The sequence below is a fragment of the Homo sapiens genome, chromosome 4 (assembly GCF_000001405.40).
Source record: "Homo sapiens chromosome 4, GRCh38.p14 Primary Assembly".
In the NCBI taxonomy this organism is placed as follows: Eukaryota; Metazoa; Chordata; class Mammalia; order Primates; family Hominidae; genus Homo; species Homo sapiens.
The window spans coordinates 100,011,202-100,033,519 of NC_000004.12; the positions used below are offsets into that span (position 1 = coordinate 100,011,202).

Below are 22,318 nucleotides of genomic sequence, written 5' to 3' on the forward strand. Positions count from 1 at the left end.
TTTTGGCATTTACAGCAGTTAACTAAATGCTAGTTCTGTGTTAGTTCTCATTGCTATAAGTGTGGGAGTAAATTGAAACAATTGTGACAAACATACCATGATGGCAATGAACGATGAAAACATTATTTTCATTCCCTGCTTACATCGAAATTTTTCCAGGTATCAAACCAAGAGGTGGATTACTGGGTGCCATATAGGACTCTGCAGCTGAAAGCTCCTTTTAATTTTGGCAGAACAAATAGTTATAGTATACAATGATAGAATTGAAGGTGGAAATGTCACATCTCAGAAAGTATGCTAATAGTATTACTAGCTATGAATTATTACCTTCAGTATGTGCCAGCAGGAAATCACATAGATCTAAACATGTTCAATACTTGTTTTCCTAGGTCAACCATCTAAGATGTTATTTGTCATTATTTATAAATTATATTTGAATTTCTGAATATAAAGCAATCAATTTTTCTACTATTTAAGCTGAATTTTTATTTTCAAAGCTATGCACATACATAGCTTAAAAAGTCAAATATTTCACAGGGCTAATAATTTAAAAACAGCATTCTTCTGTTCCTTCCCCTGATTATTGCTCCTCAGAGAAAACCATTTTTAATTCCCTCAGCTCTTTTTCCTGGTGTCTACTGCTATAAGTCTAAGAACACTCATTTAATGCTATTTTTTCAAATTTTTATTATACTGTTGGTTAATTTCTTATTTCTAACCCCTGCCCTCCTACCACCTCAATCACAGTTACCTTCTCCTTCTCTTCTCAGTATAGCTACAGCTTTATTTGGCTAAACCAATGTTCAGTTTTCATTATGACCAATTAGATATCATTCATAGCTGATGCATGTAGTATATCAGGATTGTAATTATTTCTTCTACACTTTGTTTTCTGGGTACTTTAAATTGTATCTTTTAAAAAAATTTTTGCTTTGTTTTCTGTGTGCTCATGGCTACCAGAGTCATCCTGTGTTGCTTCACAAAGTGTTGAGTTCCTCTTAATATAGTCTAACACTTCAGGAAATCTCAGTTTCCCTGTTGTCTTGAAGATACACTTTCCACCCTGCTGCTCCTATCTGGGCTGCTTGTCTTCCCCATCTGCCCCTCAGCTGTCTTCCTGGGATATCCTGTCACATCATCTGGGATATTTCCTTCACCTTCCTTCTGTCTGAGATCCTTATTCCTGGATCCCGAGACTTCCTCTTTATTGATTTACTCTCTTGTTTCTGGTGGGGCATATTTTCCAGTAGCTTCCTGAGAGACTGCCTGAGAGGTGAACTTTGAGACCTTGCCCATCTGAAAACGTCCTGATTCTACCATCGCACGTAATTTATAGTTAGACAGGGTGTAGAATTCTAGGTTTGCAATACTTCATTCTTAAAATTTGAAGGGATTCTTCTACTATGTTGCAGGTACTAGTTTTGGTACTGAGACATCTAGTGCCTTCAGATTCATGCTTGTTGGTATGTGACCTGCTTTCTCCTTTCCACCTCTCCAGAAGCTTTTAGCATCTTCTTTTCTATTTGTGATGTTCTGAAGTTTCTCAGTCATATGCATTTATAGGACTGTTTTTCTTCCCATTGTGCTGGACACCTTGTATCATGGTGTCACCTTTCAGTTTGGAAACTCATGTTTTTTAGTTCTGGAAAATTTTCTTGAATCATTTGTTGAATACCTTCTTCCTCTTCTTTATTTTTTCTGATTTCTTTATGAGACTCCCATTATTTGGAAGTCAGATATCCTGGAAAAAAATGCCATAATTCTCTTTGACCTTTTTGTTGTCCTGTTCTCTCTCTCTCACGTGGCTTGTGAACCTAATTGTAAACTTGATCAGTAAAAACCATTGTGGCAGTGCAAAGGCAAATTCAAAATTGTTATCTCTGGTTATTTTTAGTGTTTTTTCAGCTATTTCAGTTTTGTCATTTATCAATGTATCTTATGTTTTTATATTCCTCAATAAATATTTGAGTGCCCTACACTGTTTTTTCCTGATGAATTGAAGCTAGGACAAACTAGAGATAATCAGTAAATTCATTAAATTGAGTTCAAATTCTGCTCCACTCAAACTTATTCCGTTTATTCATTCAAACATTAAAAGAACTACAGTGTATGAAGCAGTTAGCTGGGTAGTAGGTACACAAAAATAAATGAAAATAAACAAAATGTCTTTTTCTTTGTGGAAATTATAAAATGTGAATGTATGTGTATGGGGATAGATGGGCAGGGGAGTATCATTGTTACTGCAATGGGGGTGAGTACACATGTTGTTACTGAAGAAAAGGAAGCTCATCTAACCCTGGCTTGGGGACAATTCATTCACACTGTCTGTGGTCTATAGAATGGGTTGGAGGGCTCAGGACAGTCTTGGAGACGAACTAAAACACCAATGAATAATTCAGGTGAGATGGTAGTGGTCTGAATTAGGTCTGTGACAAGAAGGAGAAAAGTGAATTTTGAGACACTAGGAGTTTAATTAGATAGGACTTGAATTTCATTGAATTAGAGGAAGTGAAAGTGAGTTCTAAGGCAGAAGATAGTGAATTTAATTTTGGAAAAGTTTAATTTTATGTGGGATGTGCAAGTGGGGATTTGAATCAGAAGCTCAGAAGGGACAGAAGCCCTGGAAATAGATTCTTGGGTGTCACTCACATATGGTACTGTCTGGAGCCATGTGAATTGAGAGCACAGGAGGAAAGTGTGTCAACTCAACAAGGTCAGAGAAAGTTTGATGAAGAAACCTAAGGGAACATGGAGATTTAGAGGCTAGAAAGAGAAGAATATCCCACATATGTCAAGAGAAGAGAGGGTTAAAGAAATGAATACTTGGCATGATCAAATGCTACCATACATTCATATAAGGCTTTATGATATGTGTGATTTTGCATATATTTTCTTACTTAATCCCTGTAATGGCTTTATGGTTCATCTATCTCACTTTTCCACTTTTTTCTAAAAGTGTTTAGATAAGAAAACGGAGGCCCAGGAACACAGCAATTTGTTCAAGATTACAAAAGTTGGCTGGGTGTGGTGGCTTAGCCTGTAATCCTAGCACTTTGGGAGGCTGAGGCAGGCGGATCATGAGGTCAGGAGATCAAGACCATCCTGGCTAACATGGTGAAACCCTGTCTCTACTACAAATACAAAAAACAATTAGCTGGACATGATGGCACATACCTGTAGTCCCAGCAACTTGGGAGGCTGAGGCAGGAGAATTGCTCGAACCCGGGAGGCAGAGGTTGCAGTGAGTCGAGATTGTACTACTGCACTCCAGCCTGGGTGACAGAGCGGGACTCTGTCTAAAAAAAAAAAGATTACAAAAGTTGTGAAAAGCAAACTCGGGTGTTGAACAGATTTCTGGAGTTTCTCAGGTGCAGAGTGGTGAGTCCAGACTGCAAAGTGGCGCAGTTAATGTGAGCCCTCACTGTGTGCAGGCACTGTGCTGAGTGCTTTGTGCACATTATCTCATTTAATTTTCAAATCTTATACTATAAACTTGTTAACATTATAATCCCCATTTAAGGAATGAGGTAGAGGAAGCTCAGAGGTTAAGCAACCTGCCCAAAGTCATAAAACCAGTAAATGGTAGAAGCAGAGGAATTCACGTCCATTTGCTGTATGACACACGTATTAACAATTCCATCATTACGTATGAATTTCTTTCATCCAAAGACTTCCCTGATTTTTTTTTTTTTTGCCTACTAATGCTTCTGGGCTGCATAAAGATAAAAATCTCAATAAATAATAGTTATTTTGAAAGGCCTACAATGTGGTGAGGTGCTCAACTAAATAATTTATTTGTAGTCTATTCACTCTTTACAAACCTGAATGGGAAAGTATTTTTACCCCCATTTTACAGATGAGAAAACTGACCCCCAGAGATTAAATAACAATACACATTGTACGCATGTTTCAAAATATCACTTGTACCCTTAAAAATTTTTTTAGAATCACATGGGTCCTATAAATATGTACAAATATTACATATCAAAATGTTTTTAATTAAAAAAAATAAGGACAGAGTAGGCATTCTAGCTCAAATCCTTTTCCTTTTCTTCTTCTCTTCTTTCTTCCTTCCTTTCCTCCCTTAGCCAACCCTCCTTCCCCATCTCCTCTATCCTTCTCTTTCATTTGGCCTACTGCTTCTTAGGTGACAATAAGAGTGAATTTAGAATGAGGCCTTTAGGAATGGGATATAGGTCAAGGCACTGGGATTCAGAGGAGACAAGGGGTAAGCACTTTGCTAGTGTAATTGTAATGTTTGGAACTCAGTTAAAATGTTCACCAGACTCTCTGGTGCCCTGATATACCCACATAGGGGCTTGTGTGATTGAGAACTAAGGTTTTTAGACATTTAGTTTGAAATATAATTAACTGTGTATATCAAAGTTTGTAATTTGAGACTAATAATTGAGAATAAAATTGATGGATAATTAAGTAAAATAAAATATATCTTAGACATAAAGAATAAGATACCTTAGTGGTCATTCATAATTTGTTTCATTTTTATATAAAAATTATTTGCTTCCCATACACAAAACCTGAGTGCTCATCTACTTGATGATTTATGACACAGAACTGGAGTTACTTATGTCAAAGCTCTGCTTTGTTTTTTTTTCTTCTTTTGAGATGGAGTTTTGCTCTTGTTGCCCAGGTTGGAGTGCAGTAGTATGATCTCGGCTTACTGCAACCTCTGCCTCCTGAGTTCAAGTCATTCTCCTGCCTCAGCCTCCCAAGTAGCTGGGATTACAGGCGCTTACCACCATGCCTGGCTAATTCTTTTATTTTTAGTAGAGATGGGGTTTCACCATGTTGGTTAGGCTGGTCTCAAACTCCTGACCTTAGTGATCCACCTGCCGCGGCCTCCCGAAGTGCTGGGATTACAGGTGTGAGCCACTGCACCCGGCCCGAAGCTCTACTTAGAAGGACAGCAGTGCTCTATGTTCAAGACAGAGCTTTTCTCTGTGCCTCAAAAACCAGTTGAAAAAGAGCATTGCAATATTATGTGTTAACTGTTCTGTAGACCAAAAATGTTGGTTATATTGATGGCAAAACCTGAAAGAAATCCACAACGCAGAATTAGGTAGATACTGCCCCCTCTCCCTTGGAACTTTATACATTCCGCATTTTTACTAAAATGCTTATGATGCTGTTTCACGATTTGTTTATATCTCTGCTCTGCAACTTTGAAATGCTTGAAAGCAAGGTTTAGGTCATATGTTTATCTTTGTAACCACAGAGTTTAGCACAAATTATGTCCTCAAGTTTACAGATTTAACTAACCATAGTCAGGGACTCAAATATTGTGTAGCCAGGCATATGTTCTAAACCAGAAATTGTCCCAGTGTTTTCCTCACTTCACTTAGGATCACATATGGTGTTTTTTTTTTTTTTTTTAATACAGAGTCTCGCTCTTGTCACCTAGGGTGGAGTGCAGTGGCACGATAATGGCTCACTGCAGCCTCAACCTTCTAGGCTCAAGTGATCCTCCTACCTCAGCCTCCTGAGTAGCTAGGACTACAGGCATGCACCATTACTAGATAATTTTTATATTTTTTGTAGAGACAGGATCTTGCTATGTTGCCCAGACTAGTCTCCAGCTTCTGGGCTCAAGTGATCCTGCTGCCTCAGCCTCTCAAAGTGCTGGAATTACAGGTGTGAGCCACCACACCTACCCACTTAGCATCCTGTACAAATTTTACTGTTAAAGAATTTTATGTTTTAATAGACTTCTACCAAGCAAACTACAATTTTAAAAATAATCTCTGGCTTCTGTTCATTGTTGATACATACATATACAATACTGGTTGAAAAATTCCAACCAAGAATGAAGAAATGTGATGTTTTGGTTAGCCTTGGTAATGCTATTGTGGTTAACTAGTATTCTTATTTAACCATGTGAACTACTAAAGTATCATTCAACTTCATTTTTTAACTGTATCATTTATTTTAAAGATTTATCCCTATTGATATAGCTAAACTTAAGCCCATTCTTCCTTAAAAACATGCATTAGAATGTCAAACCTCTAATACAGGTTTAGTGGTTACACCTGGGAAGAGAGGAGGGCAGAGATGAGGGTAGATATGTTTCTATTTCTGTAATGCTTTATTTCTTTAAGAAAAAATCTGAAGCAAATATGGCAAAATATAAACCTGTTAAATGTGGCTGGTGGGTACATATCTATCTAATTCATTTTCTGTATGTTTGAAAATTTCATACTTTAAAAAGTGAAACAGCTGATTTCAAATGCCTCTTTTAAACAAGCACCCATGTAAAATGGCATTAATACATTTACTTATTTTTAAAAAGTTAAAAAAAATTCTAAGATTGAAAACATTTGCCCTTAACTTTAGAAAAACTTTAAAAGCATCAGAGTAAATATAGAATTCTAATTATAGACAATAGAAAAAGACAGATCAAGAGAGATTTGAAGCTCTCAAAAATTGAAATTTTGATATTTAAAGTTAAGATTTCATTAAAGCCTATGCATCCTAAATTACCACCTGTACTTAGACAACTCAATGTTTAGTATAGACATTTGTAAATTCCAGACACTCACACCCAACAGTCTGCTTTACAGTTTTTCTCTGAGCCCCATATGATCCAAACGAAAGTCATGGGCCCCTGCACTGTCTTTAATGTAATACACATAAACCTAGTTCTCTTATTCCAGTGACTGGAGTCATGCAAGTCAGAAACCCAGGGAAGTTTCTTAATTGCCACGCCTTACAATGTTAATATTACTTCATCACATGGGTTTTTTTTTTACAGCAGTCTTTTAAAGATTATGTCTATTTTATGAAGATTATTTCAGTTAAACTAGCACTATATTCATAAAGCTACTTAACCTGGCATACATAAACAGAGGCACAGTCAATATGTGAAAGTCAACACTGTGGAACGCTCATCCTTTCCTTACATTACCTCAGCTACCCTAAATGAGTCATGACACCTGTCATACTGACTAAGTGAATCCCTAGGATAAATATTAATGAAGCTTAAGTTTTTAATATGTGTTTGTACAAGTTTGAACACTTTGTCCTTGCTGTCCAGTGGAACATCTTGTATACTCCATATTGGAGACTGCAACTCTATACTGTGGTCAGAATATTTTTGAAACTCAAAATGATTATGTTTCTCTTTCCTCCCTATCCTTCATATATTAACCTTCCAGAGACTTCCTATTTGCTCTAAATATGAAGACCAAAATCTTTAGCATGGCGTTTGGTCAAGTCTTTTCACAATTTGTCCTCTATCTCCCTCTTCAGCCTCACCTTACCAAAAGCTAACCCTTGCTCTTTGATACAAAGATATGAAGAAATGCACCTCCCTATGGTTTGATCGTAGCACTTATTTCAGTTGTAATTTTACTTGCATATTTTATTGTTTGTTTAGTATCTACCTCCTATACCACAAGCTATGTAAGTTATTTTAAGAAGTAAACAATCAAAATGAGAAAGAAGATAAAGCAATTTCTCAAAAGATTGATATTTTCACAAGACATCGGCCAATGAACCTAGATAAAAGATCATGTGTAAAAACACCAAAGGGTCAAACGATGGGAAAATATAAAAAATAATATTTATTGTTTATAAGAAGAAAATAGAGGCTTTAAAAAATATCTTATTTCCACTTTTTTTTAGGCTTTTTAAAATTAGAAAAAATAATAAAAAATGGCCATAACTTTATTTTGGAGAAAGGCTCAGACCCACCACTTTGAGCTGATGGTATAAAATTATAGATGACAGTGACAAAACTATTCAATGTTTATTTCTTTATCAGTATTGCCATTTAGATATGCTGATTATGAAATATTGCCTAGCTGTTCTTTATAGTTGTTCTTTATAGATTCTTTATATATATATATACACACACAATATATATACATACATATTGGCCATACATATATATATGGCCAAGATGAATTATAACTTTAGGAACAGAAAAAATTAGCAGATGGATTTTATAAACCAATAATATATATATATAAGTATATACATATGTATTTAAGGAACTGCAATTTGCTTTTTAAATTAAAAAATTAAACTAGTTTCAAACCTATAGAAATGTTGCCGGAATAGAACAAAATTATTTTTTTATTTTCAGACAGGGTCTTGCTCTGTCACCCAGGCTGAAGTGAGACGGAGTGATCATGGGTCACTGCAACCTTGACCTCCTGAGCTCGAGCTATCCTCCTCTCTCATCCTCTCAAGTAATTGGTGCCATTGTGCCCAGCCAAATTTTTAATAGTTTATAGAGATGGGGTCTTACTTTGTTGCTAAGGTTGTTCTCAAACTTCTGGCCTCCAGCAATATTCCTAGCTTAGCTTCCCATAGCGCTGGGATTATAGATGTGAGCCACCTTGCCCGGCTTGAACAAAGCAATCGTTTTTGTTTGGATGATTGCTTAATATTTTACTATGTGTATATATATTTATTGCTTCTCTCTCTCTCCCCCAATCTGATGTCCCTCTACTCCCTAAATACTTCAGTATATACATGCCCTAAACTGGGACACTCTGCTGTAATAGTATCAATATACTTGGCTGCCAATAAGAAAATCAAAGTTGATAGAACACTACCATTGAATCCACAAACTTTGATCATATTTTGCCAACTGTCCCAACAATGTTTTCTCCTCTTTTTGGTCCAGTATCCTATACAGGAAATTGCATTGCATTTAGTGGTCATGCCTCTTTAGATTCCTTCAATTTGGAACATTTTGTTATTTCACTCTCTCTCAAGTCCCTGGGTTTTAAAGAATGGATTCCTTTTATTCTATGGGACAACCCTAAACACAGGTCTGTCTGATGTTTCCTCATGACCAGACACAAGTCATGCATTTGTGGCAGGAATATCACAGAAGTGATGCTGTGCTCTTCCTAGTGCCTCATATCCGGAGGCACCACACAATGTTGATCTGTTCCACTGCTTGATCTTGGGTGCCTGTTTATGTTAGTGTTTACTAGATTTCCAAAGGCTCAATTTTTCTTTAAGACCAATTAACATTTGAAGGCAAGACTTCTAAGATTTTACACTAATATCCCGTTTCTCATCGAGTTTCCCACACCAGCAATTGCATTCATTGACAATTTCCACCTGAGCCAACCATCATAATGAGGGTTGCCAAATGGCTGCTTATTTGCTTCTTTCTACAATTATTAGTTGATACTCTACTATAACAGTACATTTCTCTTCTCACATTTCTTTATTATTTATATTAGTGTGGATTCATGGATTCCAGTTTTAGTTACTGAGTTTTCATTTGATAATATTATTATTTATTGTGATGTGGATATTATCCCAGATTTGACCAGTTTTATCCCTGTTAAACTGGCTTCTGTATCCTTTTGACATATCTCCATCACTCATTGTATATGTTTTTTAGAGATAACAAAATGCACCAGGTACATTTTTTCATTCCATATTCCAGCCCTGGCATTAGCCATTTCTTAAAGGACCCTTGATTTCTTTTAATAAAGGATAATATTCATTAAAGGAATGAAACAATGACCTGGGTCACCTGGAGTTAGCCATTTCTTAAAGAACCCTTGGTTTATTTATTTATTTATTTTTTGAGATGGAGTCTTGCTCTGTCACCCAGGCTAGAGTGCAGTGGCACGATCTCCATTCACTGCAACTTCTGCCTCTTGGGTTCAAGTGATTCTCCTGCCTCAGCCTCCCGAGTAGCTGGGGTTACAGGCATGTGCCACCACGCCCAGGTACTTTTTGTATTTTTAGTAGAGACAGGGTTTCACCATGTTGGCTAGGCTGGTCTCAAACTCTTGACCTGAAGTGATCCACCTGCTTTGGCCTCCCAAAGTGCTGGGATTACTGGCGTGAGCCACCATGCCCAGCCAACCCTTGATTTCTTTTAATGAAGGATACCATTTATTAAAAGAATGAAACAATGATCTGGGTGCTCATGTTCATCATTACCGAGGTGTCATTGCATTGGGAATTTTCAGTAGAAAGAGCTAGAAAATGTTGTATGTATATACGCATGTACATGTGTATGTATACGAGCATATGATTGTAACTATTTTTATTTATGTACATGTGTATGTGTGTGTGTGTGTGTGTGTGTGTGTTTTCATACCTGACTTGATGCTGATACTTTTAATTCTAATCGTATACCTTGGGGTTCTTTTTATTTATTATGTGTTTTATTTTTAGAGACAGAGTCTTACTCTGCTGCCCAGGCTGGAGTGCAATGGTGCGATCATGACTCACTGCAGTCTCGAACTCCTGGGCTCAAGCGATCCTTCTGCCTCAGCTCCCCAGTAGCTGGGACTACAGCCATGTGCCACCATGCGCAGCTAATGTTTTTTATTTTATGTAGATCGGGTGTCACTGTGTTGCCCAGGCTGGTCTCAAATTCCTGGCCTCAAGTGATCTTCCCGCCTCAGCCTCCCAAAATGCTGGGATTACAGGCATGAGCCACTGTGCCCAGCCAAGATTCATTTTAGTCTGCTTCCTTTACATGGTGCAAATTCCTTCTCAGATATTAAGAAATATAGTTTTTAATATCTTCACCTCTTTCCTTTCTTCCCTCTTCCTTCTTTCTTTCCTCCTTTTTTTTCTTTTTTGTTTCCTCCATTTCTTCCTTTCTTTCTTCCTTCCTTCCAAGACATAGGGTCTTGCTGTGTTGCCCAGACTGGACTTGAACTTCTGAGTTCACATCATCTTTCCTCCTTAGACTCCAGAATAGCTGGAATTACAAACATGTGCCACTGCGCCCAACTGCAGTAGTCTTCTAATTGGTTTCCCTGCTTCTTCACTTGCTCCCATATGGCCAATTCCCTATATAAAGCTAGAGAGATTTTCTAAAACATAAATCATATGTCTCTTCTCTGCTAAAAGTGTGCCAATGGCTTCCCACTAAAGTTAGAAAAAAAAATCTTTGAAACTAAAGATTGGACTGTCTTAAAAGCAAACAGACTATATAACAGGCACATGTCTTAATCTGTTTGCTATAACAAAATACCACAGACTGAGCAATTTACAAACAACAGAAATTTATTTCCGACAGTTCTGGAGGCTAAAAAGTCCAAGATCAAGGTACTGGCACTGGTGCATGTTAAGACCTGCTCCCTGCTTCCAAGATGGCACCTTGTTGCCATGTCGTCATGTGGCAGAAGGTGGAAAGGCAAGGCTTTCTTCAACCTAGAGCCCTTTTTAATAATGGTTCTAATGCCATTTAGAAGGGCAGGACCCTCATGACTTAATCACTTCCCAAAGTCCACATCTCTTAATACTGTTGCATTGAGGATTAAGCTTCAACCTGAACTTTGAAGGGGACATAGCAGCATAGTAGACTTTTAATGAATATTCACCAATTGAAAGAATAAATTAGAATTTCAAAACAAATTGAAAATGAAGAAAGTAAAGGTATACACTCTCCTATCTCTATCACACCCACATCCAAACAGAAGATGCTCTTAGATCTAATATCAGCGTTTTCAGAATTGGATTACTTTGCTATTGTCTCTATTCCCACCATGGATCATGCTCCCATCATATCTTCAGTATTGCTTGCATTTTCACGATAGTTCCCTAACTGTTATTTCAGTTTCTGCCCTTGCCTCCCTTCACTCTATTTTCACAGAGGCCAGAATAATTCGGTTAAAAAATGCCAGATCACATCACTTCTCTCTTAAAACCCTTCAGTGGCTTTCCGTTTTACTCTGGGTAAAAGCCAAAGTGCTTTAAATGGCCAACAGGCCCTGTATTCATTATCTGTTGCTATGTAACAAAGTACTCAAAACTTAGTTGCGTCAAAACATACATTTATTATCTCATGGTTTCTGTGGGTCAGGCATCTGGGCCCAGGCTCTCTTGTATGGCTGCAATCAATTTATCAGCTGGGGCTGAATTGTTGAAAGGCCTGACTGAGGGAGGTTCTGATTTCAAGCTCACATTGCTGTTGTCAGGCTCCGGTCCCCTGCTGATTGTTGGCTGGAGACATCAGTTCTTTGTCATGTGGCCCAATCCATACGACTGTTTACAACATGGTAGCTTGCTTCCCCCAGAGTAAGGGCTGTGTGTGTGAGGGAGAGAAAGACAGATATTCCCTAATGTCTTTTGAGTCTTTATACTTTTCTATGGCATTTATTGTATCCAATATCTCATGTGTTTTACTCATTGTCTGTTTCCTCATTTCTCTATCCTCATTACAATATAAGCTATAATAGAGCAGGACATCTTGCTTGTTTCACTGACTATTTTATCTACAGTGATCAGAACAGTGTTAAACACATTCAAAACAAATACTGAATAAATGCAATCATTTCAGAAAAGATTTGAGGAATCTCAAAAACAGACATCCATCTGCTATGAAACCCTGTAACATACAGAATTACTGTAAAAGGCTGTAGTGTATTCATGAAACAGAATCCAGAGATTACTGTATAGGAAGAAAAAAATTAGAACAGTCCTACCAAACATACACCAAAAAGCAAACAAAAATTCAGCAATATACAAAGAATATTATTAGTATTTAATATATATACACATAAACACAAAGACTGTCATACAGATTTTGTCATATGTGGTTATGTATAACCACCAATAATCACCAATTTTCAAGTTCAGTTCTTGGTCTTGGAGTCAATGATAGATCTGTACCCTTCATGACAGCACAAGAGACCTGGGTTTTTGGGGTAGATGCAGCATTCCTTTCTTCTCTTAGAAATACATTGCACCTGAAAGGGAAAATGGTCAACCCCACTGTATTTTTTCCAGATTATGAGCTCCTCCTTAGAAGCCAGCCAAGCATGCCCAGATGATGGGTTAAGGCTACTGAGCTTTCCATGGTGCTAGTGCAGTTTGCAGTCTTGCTGTATTTCATAGTTGCCCCACAGAATTTATTTCCCTGTCAGCCATGGACAGCTGTATGAATTGACATCTCAGAGGGTATCTGCCAAGTCTCTGGAAATGCTAATGCCCATGCTGATTAGGTTGGACAATGTCAACTTGTTCTGGGCATCAATCCATTGAGCTACAAGCTTCTCATGATGGGAAAAGAGGGCTTCCTGAAGAGAAGTAGACAGCATGCTCAAACTGCTAAGAAGGGTGATGACAAAGCTCCTGCTAAGGCCCTGGTTCTTTTAGGAATTATCCTCATATTGTCAGCTCAGGCTATGGTTTGGGCTGTGAGATCTCATCTTCCTTCATCTTCTGTGGACCCACTGGCTTGCCAAGACCTCTTTAGGAACGAAGCAGTCTGAGGAAGTGCAGTCTGAGGGTCTGTCATTTCTATAGAAGCAGCTGGAGATATTGGGAAAATGGGCCAGGATTGTGGCTTCTCCAGACTGCAACAGAGCAGGACAGGAATTTTTCTCTGCTCCAAATCTCAGCCCCTCACCATGTCCCTGCCTAAACAACAAACACATACATTCTTTTTTTCACTTCCGCTTTTGCTTCTGCATCAGTTGTTTTTCTTTTACAAACTGTCAAGATCCTATTGATCAGCATCCAATTCATTTAATTATGCAATCCAGTTATCTTGTATCACCTAGGAAAAGTACATATAAGACTGTCTTAAAATAAAAGACTAGTGACAATAAAGATTTTTTGCCCAACAGAGGCCATTGAAGGATACACTTCCTCTTTAAATCATGTGAAATTCATCCTGGAATGCTTTTCTCATAGAATATACTCATTTCTTTCATATCTGAACCATAGCTGAAGTAGTAGATTCCCATGCTTTTCCTCCTGTCTCATTTTTCTTTTTTGTAGCTCCTGGCCACAGTGGGAGCCATGATCTCTCTCCTTTACATGTGGCTGTATTCCCAGAGCTTTCATTTCCATGTGGCACATTTTTATGCTCATTTTGGGTACCCCAGTGCTCAGCATATTGTTAGGCAAAGATACGTGAAAAGTAAGGTAACTTTGTTTCTCTGGTGCTATTCCACTGGGGGAAAAGAGGTGGGGAGAGATTTGCTGGTTAGAGTTCTAAAAGTAATGGCAAAAACCACAATTAACTTTGCACCAACCTAATATATCTGTAGGCTTATAGGTTTTAGCATTAAGCAGTTAATTGAGTCCGTTTTTAAAAATATAATATCTTTTGTTTACCTAGGAGCTGGTGTAGTGAAGGATGAAGAGAAGGCAATGCATTGGTTTAGGTAAGATGATGACATCTGCCCAAAAGCAAAGCTTCAGAGTTACCTGTTCAGAAAGTACAGGTTGAGCATCCCTTATCCGAGATGCTTGAGACCAGAAGTGTTTTGGATCTTGGATTTTTTTTAATTTTTTTATTTTGAAATATTTGTATTATACTAACTGGTTGAGCATCCCTAACCTGAAAATTCAGAATCTGAAATGCTCCAGTGAGATTTTTCTTTGAGGGTCATGTTGGTGCTCCAAAACTTTCAGATTTTGGAGCATTCAGATTCAGATTTTCTGATTAGGGATGCTCAACCTATGCTGAAATAGAAAACCTTATAATTTTGGTGCTCTTTCCCTAGAGCAAAAATAAGCTAGAGATCTTAATATTAAAGTCTTGGTACCCTTTTTACTTTTTCCACTTGGTGATGAGGTAGGAGTACTGGTGGAGCTATGGAGAGGGCGGGGCCAATGCATTTTAAAACAGTCTACACAATGTAAGCAAAGAGCAGATTAGATTCAAAAGAGCCAAACTGGGGAACGTGGACCAATCTAGGTCAAGATTCAGAATATCAATAAGTTTATTAACAATGTTCTGTGTTAACGTTACTTTGGTTATTAAGGTTTTGAGCTCTTGACTATAAAACATACACTAATTTGAAATTTACAAACTGGGCTACATGTTAGAATCACCTGGGGAGCTTCTGAAAAATGCTGATGCCCAGCTCCAGATTGATTTAAATGAGCAGAAAATGATTCCTAGGTGAGTGTAATATGCTGCCAGCTCAAACTACTCCAGAAGTCTATAATGGTTAATAAAGTAAACATGAACCAGCAGAAGAAGGCATTTCAGGAACATATTCTAAAGCTTAAAATCGATATTCTGATAAAGTTCACCTGACAACAGAAGAAACACCTTTGAGAATCAGGAAGGGAGTGACATGGTTCCAAAGTGGCAAAGTGTCGTTGGTGATTAACTGCACTTGGCTGAAGTGCTTGCCACTGGGAGTATAGTCCGTACACCCAGAGCATTGGCATCGCCAGGTGGGCACTTGGTAGGAATGCAGTCTCTGAGGCTCTAACACAGACCCACTGAAGTAGAATCTTCATTTTAATAAGTTCCTGGGGTGACTGATATGCACTCTCCGATATTGTAGCCAACAGCCACAATGTGGCCATATAAATGTAAATGAATTAAAACTAAATAAAATCAGAATTTTAGTTCATAGTTGCACTGTCTACATTTCAAGTATTCAATAGCCAGTACTGGCTACTGTACTGGACAGTGCAAATATAGATCGATTCTATCTTTGGTAAAAATTCTACTGGAAAGTACTAGCAATTTACATTTATGTTTCAGCAATTGGAAATAGTGCTTAAGGGTCAGTTTACGTGTTATTGAATTTCTAACATTCCCAGATAGTCCTTTCCAGCATTTTGATTGCCTGTATAGTTTGGAGAAAAGAGTATAATTATATTAATATTTGGAAAAGCTGATGAATTGATTGAAACAAATACGCAACTAATTTTTTTAAAAGTACTGTACTTGTTTCAAGTAAGAAAAACATTTTTTTTTTTTTTGAGACAGAGTCTCCCTCTGTCACCCAGGCTGGAATGCAGTGGCGTGATCTCAGCTCACTACAACCTCCTCCTCCTGGGTTCAAGCAAGCCTCAGCCTCCCAAGTAGCTGGGATTATAGGCATGTGCCACCATGCTCGGCTAATTTTTTTTTTATTTTCAGTAGAGACTGGGGGTTAGTCAGGGTTCTCTAGAGGGACAGAACTAATAGGATAGATATTTATATATAAAGGGGAGTTATTAAGTAGTATTAACTAACATGATCTCAAGTCCCACAGTAGGCCATCTGCAAGCTGAGAAGCAAGGAAGCCTGTCTGAGTCCCCAAGCTGAAGAACTTGGAGTCCAATGCTTAAGGGCAGGAAGCATCCAGCATGGGAGAAAGATGTAGCCTGGGAGGCTAAGCCAATCTAGCCTTTTCACATTTTTCTGCCTGCTTTTATCCTAGCTGCGACAGCAGCTGATTAGATTGTGCCCACCCAGATTAAGGGTGGGTCTGCCTTTCCCAGCCCACTAACTCAAATGTTAATCTCCTTTGGCAACACCCTCACAGACACACCCAGGATCAATCCTTTGCATCCCTCAATCCAATCAAGTTGACACTCAGTATTAACCATCACAAGTCCACCCCTTGTCAACTTTAACCGATACACATCTCCTGAGATCATACATAATCTTCAAATAAAAGCAATAATAAGCTCATAATTATGCCTAACATAATGCAACTATCCTTCATACAGCCAGAAATGCACCACTCCCCAACCCAAATACTCTTACATAAAGTTAATGATGCTCGAATGCTGATATGAAGTAAATAAATCTTATGTCACATGATAAACGAAAAAGGAAATAAAATGAAGTTATTTTCTTAGTACAAGTGTATATATGCACACACATGTTTTTAACAAAAGAAGGAGGAAATACTCATGACAATTACAGTCTCCATTTCTGCAACTGGTCACGGGGCCATTGATGATTACCTTCTTCTACTACCCATTCGTATTTCCTTTACCTTCATCAAGCACCTTAGCAGATCATGGTTTTTTTCCTACCTTCTTCTGCTACTCATTCGTATTTCCTTTGCCTTCATCAAGCACCTTAGCAGGTCATGGTTTTTTTCTTGGTGGAGTGACCCAAACCTTCATTCCTGAATGGTCTGGGCCAACTGCCTGGATTGGGCTATTGTAGTTTCCCATTGACCTTAATCACAAAGCATGATAATACTAAGAGACATCCTAAGGGATCTCCTGTATTCCATACATACTCTTCCTTACCTCTGTTGTGGAGTAGTAGACTGACTTCATCTTGATAGCCCGGGTCAATCACCCTAGCCAACACTGTAACTCACTTCTTAGCCTGTTGACTTAAAGGTAGGAGGAGCCTAAAGTGTCCAGTTGGCAATCTTAACTTCTAGTTTAATGGAATCACTGTGTCTCCTGGTGGCAACATTTCTCCCACTGGAACTAAGACCTCTAGGCCAGCAGAATGTAATGTCATGGAAACAGGAAGCAAAAATTTTGTTAGTGGATCACTAGGGGTGATGGTGAGTGGTGCCACTTCCATTTCCAACCCTTGATTCCTGGACCCATGAATCCTGGCTATGGGAGAAACAGTACCATATATTGAATGCTGATTCAGAGCATACATGGCCTTTTGGAGAACTTTGCCCCAGCCCTGGCAAAGTATTGTCACCTAGTTGGCATTGTAATTGTGACTTCAAAAGGGCATTCCACCATTCTATCAATACAGCTGCTTCAGGATAATGGGGAACATGGTAAGACCAATGAATTCCATGAGCACAAGTCCACTGCTGCACTTCTTTAGCCATAAAGTGAGTGCCTTGGTCAGAGGCAATACCATGACTGTGGATAAGGCATTCCGTGAGCCCATGGATGGTAGTCTTGGCAGAATCATTGCATGCAGGATAGGCAAACCCATATCTGGAGTAAGTGTCTATTCCAGTGAGGACAAACCTCTGCCCTTTCCGTGATGGAAGAGGTCCAATATAATCAAGTTGCTACCAGGTAGCTGGCTGATCACCCCGAGGAATTTTGCCATATCGAGAGCTTAGTGTTGGTCTCTGTTGCTGGCAAATTGGGCACTCGGCAGTGGCCGTAGCCAGGGCAGCCTTGGTGAGTGGAGGTCCATATTGCTGAGCCCATGTGTAACCTCCACACCTGCCACCATGGCCATGTTGTTCATGGGCCCATTGGGCAATGACAGGAGTGGCTGGGGAAAGAGGCTGAGTGGTAACCACAGAATGGGTCATCTTATCCACTTGATTATTAAACTTCTCCTCTGCTGAGATACTTGTAGGTGAGCACTCACATGGGATACAAATACAGTTTTTGATCACCTAGAGAGGTCTATCCACATACATCTTTCTCAAATTTCTTTGTCACCAATTTTCCAATCATACTTCTTCCAAGTCTCTGACCATCTAGCCAAACCATTGGCTACAGCCCATGATTCAGTATATAATTGCATATCTGGCCATTTCTCCTTCCATGCAAAGTGTACAACTAGGTGAACTGCTTGAAGTTCTCCTCACTGGGAAGATTTCCCTTCACTGCTGTCCTTCAGGGATGTCCTAGAAAGGGGCTGTAGTGCTGCAGCTGTCCACTTTCAGGTGGTGCTTGTGTATCGTGCAAAACCATCTGTCTTCTCTTAAAAAAACCCTAGTCTTCTCTTCCTCTGTCAACTGATCATAGGGAACTGCCCATAAGGCCATTGGTGTATGCTGTGGGAGAGAAGATAGGGTGGCAGGAGTGGAGACCATGAGCATTTGAACCACTTCCTCATGTAACTTACTTGTGCCTTCAGGACCCACTCGAGCCCAATCACGTATATACCACTTCCATTTAATAATGTAATGCTGCTGTGCATGACTTACTTTATAGCTAAATGGGTCATAAAGCACTCAGTTCATGATAGGCAGTTCAGGTCACATGATGACTTGATGACCCATCATTAAACATTCAGTTCCCACCAAAACCCAGTAACAGGCCAAGAGCTGTCACTCAAAAGGAGAGTAGTTATCTACAGAAGTTGGCAGGGCCTTGCTCCAAAATCCTGGAGACCTCCACTGTGATTCATCTATGGGGGCCTGGCAAAGGCTCCAAACAGCACCCCTATCTGCCACTGACCCCTCAAACACCATTGAATCTGCTGGGTCATATGGTCCAAGTGGCAGAGCAGCTTGCACAGCAGCCTGGACCTGTTGTGGAGCCTTCTCCTGTTCTGGACCCCACTCAAAACTGGCAGCCTTTTGGGTCACTGGATAAATGGGCCAGAGTAACACACCCAAATGAGGAATGTGTTGCCTCCAAAATCCTAATAGGCCCACTAGGCATTGTGCCTCTTTTTTGGTTGTAGGAGGGGCCAAATGCAGCAACTTATCCTTCACCTCAGAAGGAATATCTTGACAGGCCCCACACCACTGGATCCCTAGAAATTTGACTGAGGTAGAAGCTGCCTGAATTTTTGTTAGATGTATTTCCCATCCTCTGGCATGCAAATGTCTCACCAATAAGTCCAGTGTGTTTGCTACTTCTTGCCCACTGGATCCAATCAGCATAATGTCATCAATGTAATGGACAAGTTTGATATCTTGTGGAAGCGAAAGGCGATCAAGTGCTCTCCGAATAAGATTATGACACAAAGGCAGAGAGTTGATATACCCCTGAGGTAGGACAGAAAAAGGTATATTGCTGGCCTTACCAGCTGAAGGCAAATTGCTTCTGGGGGGCTTTATGGACAGGAATGGAGAAAAAGGCATCTGCGAAGTCAGTGGCTGCATACCAGGTACCAGATGTGCTAATTTGCTCAAGCAATGAAACCACATCTGGTACAGTTGCTGCAGTTGGAGTCACCACTTGGTAAAGCTTACAGTAATCCACGGTCATTCTTCAAGATCCATCTGTCTTCTGCACTGGCCAAATAGGAGAGTTGAATTAGGTTGTTGTGTGGATCACCACCCCTGTGTCCTTCAAGACTTTGATGGTGGCGCTAATCTCTGCAATCCCTGCAGGGATGCGATATTGTTTTTGATTTACTATTTTTCTAGGTAGAGGCAGTTCTAATGGCTTCCATTTGGCCTTTCCCACCATAATAGCCCTCACCCTACCAGTCAGGGAGCCAATGTGGGGGTTCTGCCAGCTACTAAGTATGTCTATGCCAATTATGCATTCTGGCACTGGAGAAATAACCACAGGATGAGTCCAGGGACCCAATGGACCCACTGTATGTTGGACCTGAGCTAAAACTCCATTAATTACCTGACCTCCCTAAGCCTCTACTTTAACTGGAGAACCACAATGACATTTTGGGTCCACTGGAATCAACTTCAGCTCAGAGCCAGTGTCCAGTAGTTCCCCAAATGTCTGATCATTTCTCTTTCCCCAGTGCACAGTTACCCTGGCAAAAGGCCAGAGGTCGACTTGGGGAAGGATGGGAGAAAAATTAACAGCATAAGTTGTCAGTAGTGTAGTGGGGTCCTTCCTTAAGGGGACATGTCCTCCCCTTCATTCAAGGGGCTCTGGGCCTGCAAACTGGCTCAAGTCTGGAAATTGATTGAGGGATCATGATTCTCTGTTTTTATAATTCAAATTAGTCTTTTGTCCATTCCATCTGGAAGTTTTCTGCTTGTCTAAATTGAGTAGGAATGCAGTACACTTCCCATCAATTTCACTTCTAGGAACACTGTGATTAATTAGCCATTGCCAGAGCTCTACACAAGTCAGAATATTCTAATTTCTGCTTTGCCTCTGCTGTCCATTATAGTAGCTATGCCCACCTTGCCTTTGATGGTTAAGTGCCATCACTTGGCCTCTGCCACCTTGGGATCCAATTATTCTCATTCTATTTAAATTTTGTAGTTGAGTGACTGCCATTCCCACTGTTAGATCTGCCACACGGAGAAGAGCAATTACAGGACTCTTCAAAGGTGCAGATGCTGCCCTCACAAATCTATTTTGCAATGCATTGGTCAAGGGTATATCTTCTGGACCCTCCCAATTGAAATATATAGGTCTAAAGTGACTCCAGCATCCTAATCTCCCTAAGCCTTTGGATCCCTTCCTCTACATTAAACCAAGGGAGATCAGGCATTTCCAGCTCGCTCACAGTGGGCCATCGTTTAATCATATTTCAGCTAACTAAGCAAATAAACTATTGAATCTTTTTTAACTCCCCAAGCTGCAACATTAAATGCAGAATCCCTGCTTAGTGGACCCAAATCAATAAATTCAGCCTGATACAACTCTATTTTTTTCCAACATTACACCACACGCTTACTATCCATTCCCATGCCTGTTCTCCAGATTTCTGTTTACATAAATTACAAAACTCAAGCAGTTCTTTTTGAATGTTGCACACCGCCTCCTGGATCACACTCTGAACCTCACATCTAGAGGCCTGCCAGGACTTTAGTTATAGGTCTAGAGGCAAACAGGGGTATTGGGGGTGGCTCCTGAGGAGAATCAACATTATCTTGCCTGGCAACTGCCTCAGGGGAAGCCATCACTGTTGCCTCAGGCAGCATAGGGTTTACCTCCTCAGACAAAGGTGGAAAGACTGATGGCAGCATGGGTTGGGGAGGGGATGTTGCCACTACTGGGGATTTGGCAATTGTTTCTTCTGGCAAAAAAGTTTCATCAGAATTTACAAACACAGTGTCCCCAGTTTCATCAGGGTCCTCCCACACATCCTCATTCCAAGTTGCAGGGTCCCATTCTTTTCCAATCAATGCCCTCATTTTAATAGTAGACACCTGGAAAGGCCGTGCATGCACCTTTCATTGCAGGTCAGCCACTCATGAGAAGAGCTTGTGTCTGTTTTTTTGCAATTTCAGCTCTTTCTCTACAGGAGATAAGACTCAGGACAATCTTGGCAGACTTGAGGCTCAGTATCTGCTTCTGAAGCCAGGAGTTAGAATCTCTAACTTCATAATTTTCTTTCATCACTTTGTCCACTGAACTTAGGAGCAACCAACCAACTTCATTATGTTCCTTGGTCCTTCACATATGGTCAAAGGTATTATGTATAGAGTCACTAGACTCCTTGCCTCTCATGAGCAGTGAATCAGGAGTGTCAAATGCATGTATTTTGCATAACTCTCTAAACAGTTCATGCCAAGGACTATCAGTGTTCTCCATAGTTTTAGAAGTAGAGTCCTTAGCATTTTGGGGTCTAATCATATTAAGCAGTGAACTCCATAAACCCCAAAACCATCCTTAATATTCTGTTCCTCTGGAACCACTCCTGGTACCAAAATCTGTATTAGTCAGGGTTTTCTAGAGGGAAGAACTAATAGGAGATATATGTGTGTGTGTGTGTGTGTGTGTGTGTGTGTGTATGGGAGTTATTAAGCAGTATTAACTCACCCAATCACAAGGTCCCACAATAGGCCATCTGCAAGCTGAGCAGCAAGGAAGACAGTCTGAATCCCAAAGCTGAAGAACTTGGAGTTCGATGTTTGAGGGCAGGAAGCATCCAGAATGAAAAAAGAGTAGATTGGGAAGCTAAGTCAGCTAGCCTTTTCATGCACTTCTGCCTGCTTTTATCCTAGCTGCTCTGGCAGCTGATCAGATTGTGCCCACCCAGATTAAGGGTGGGTCTGCCTTTCCCAGCCCACTG

The 22,318-nt window shown here is 39.7% G+C and overlaps 1 long non-coding RNA gene across 1 annotated transcript in view; it reads left to right on the forward strand.

Moving 5' to 3' along the window:
• The window catches only part of H2AZ1-DT (H2AZ1 divergent transcript), an 87,212-nt gene that overhangs the window by 60,708 nt on the left and 4,186 nt on the right, over nt 1-22,318 (forward strand). Inside the window, exon 2 of the long non-coding RNA NR_125923.1 lies at nt 14,081-14,126. This is a non-coding gene — a long non-coding RNA (H2AZ1 divergent transcript). The remainder of the gene's footprint in view (nt 1-14,080; nt 14,127-22,318) is intronic.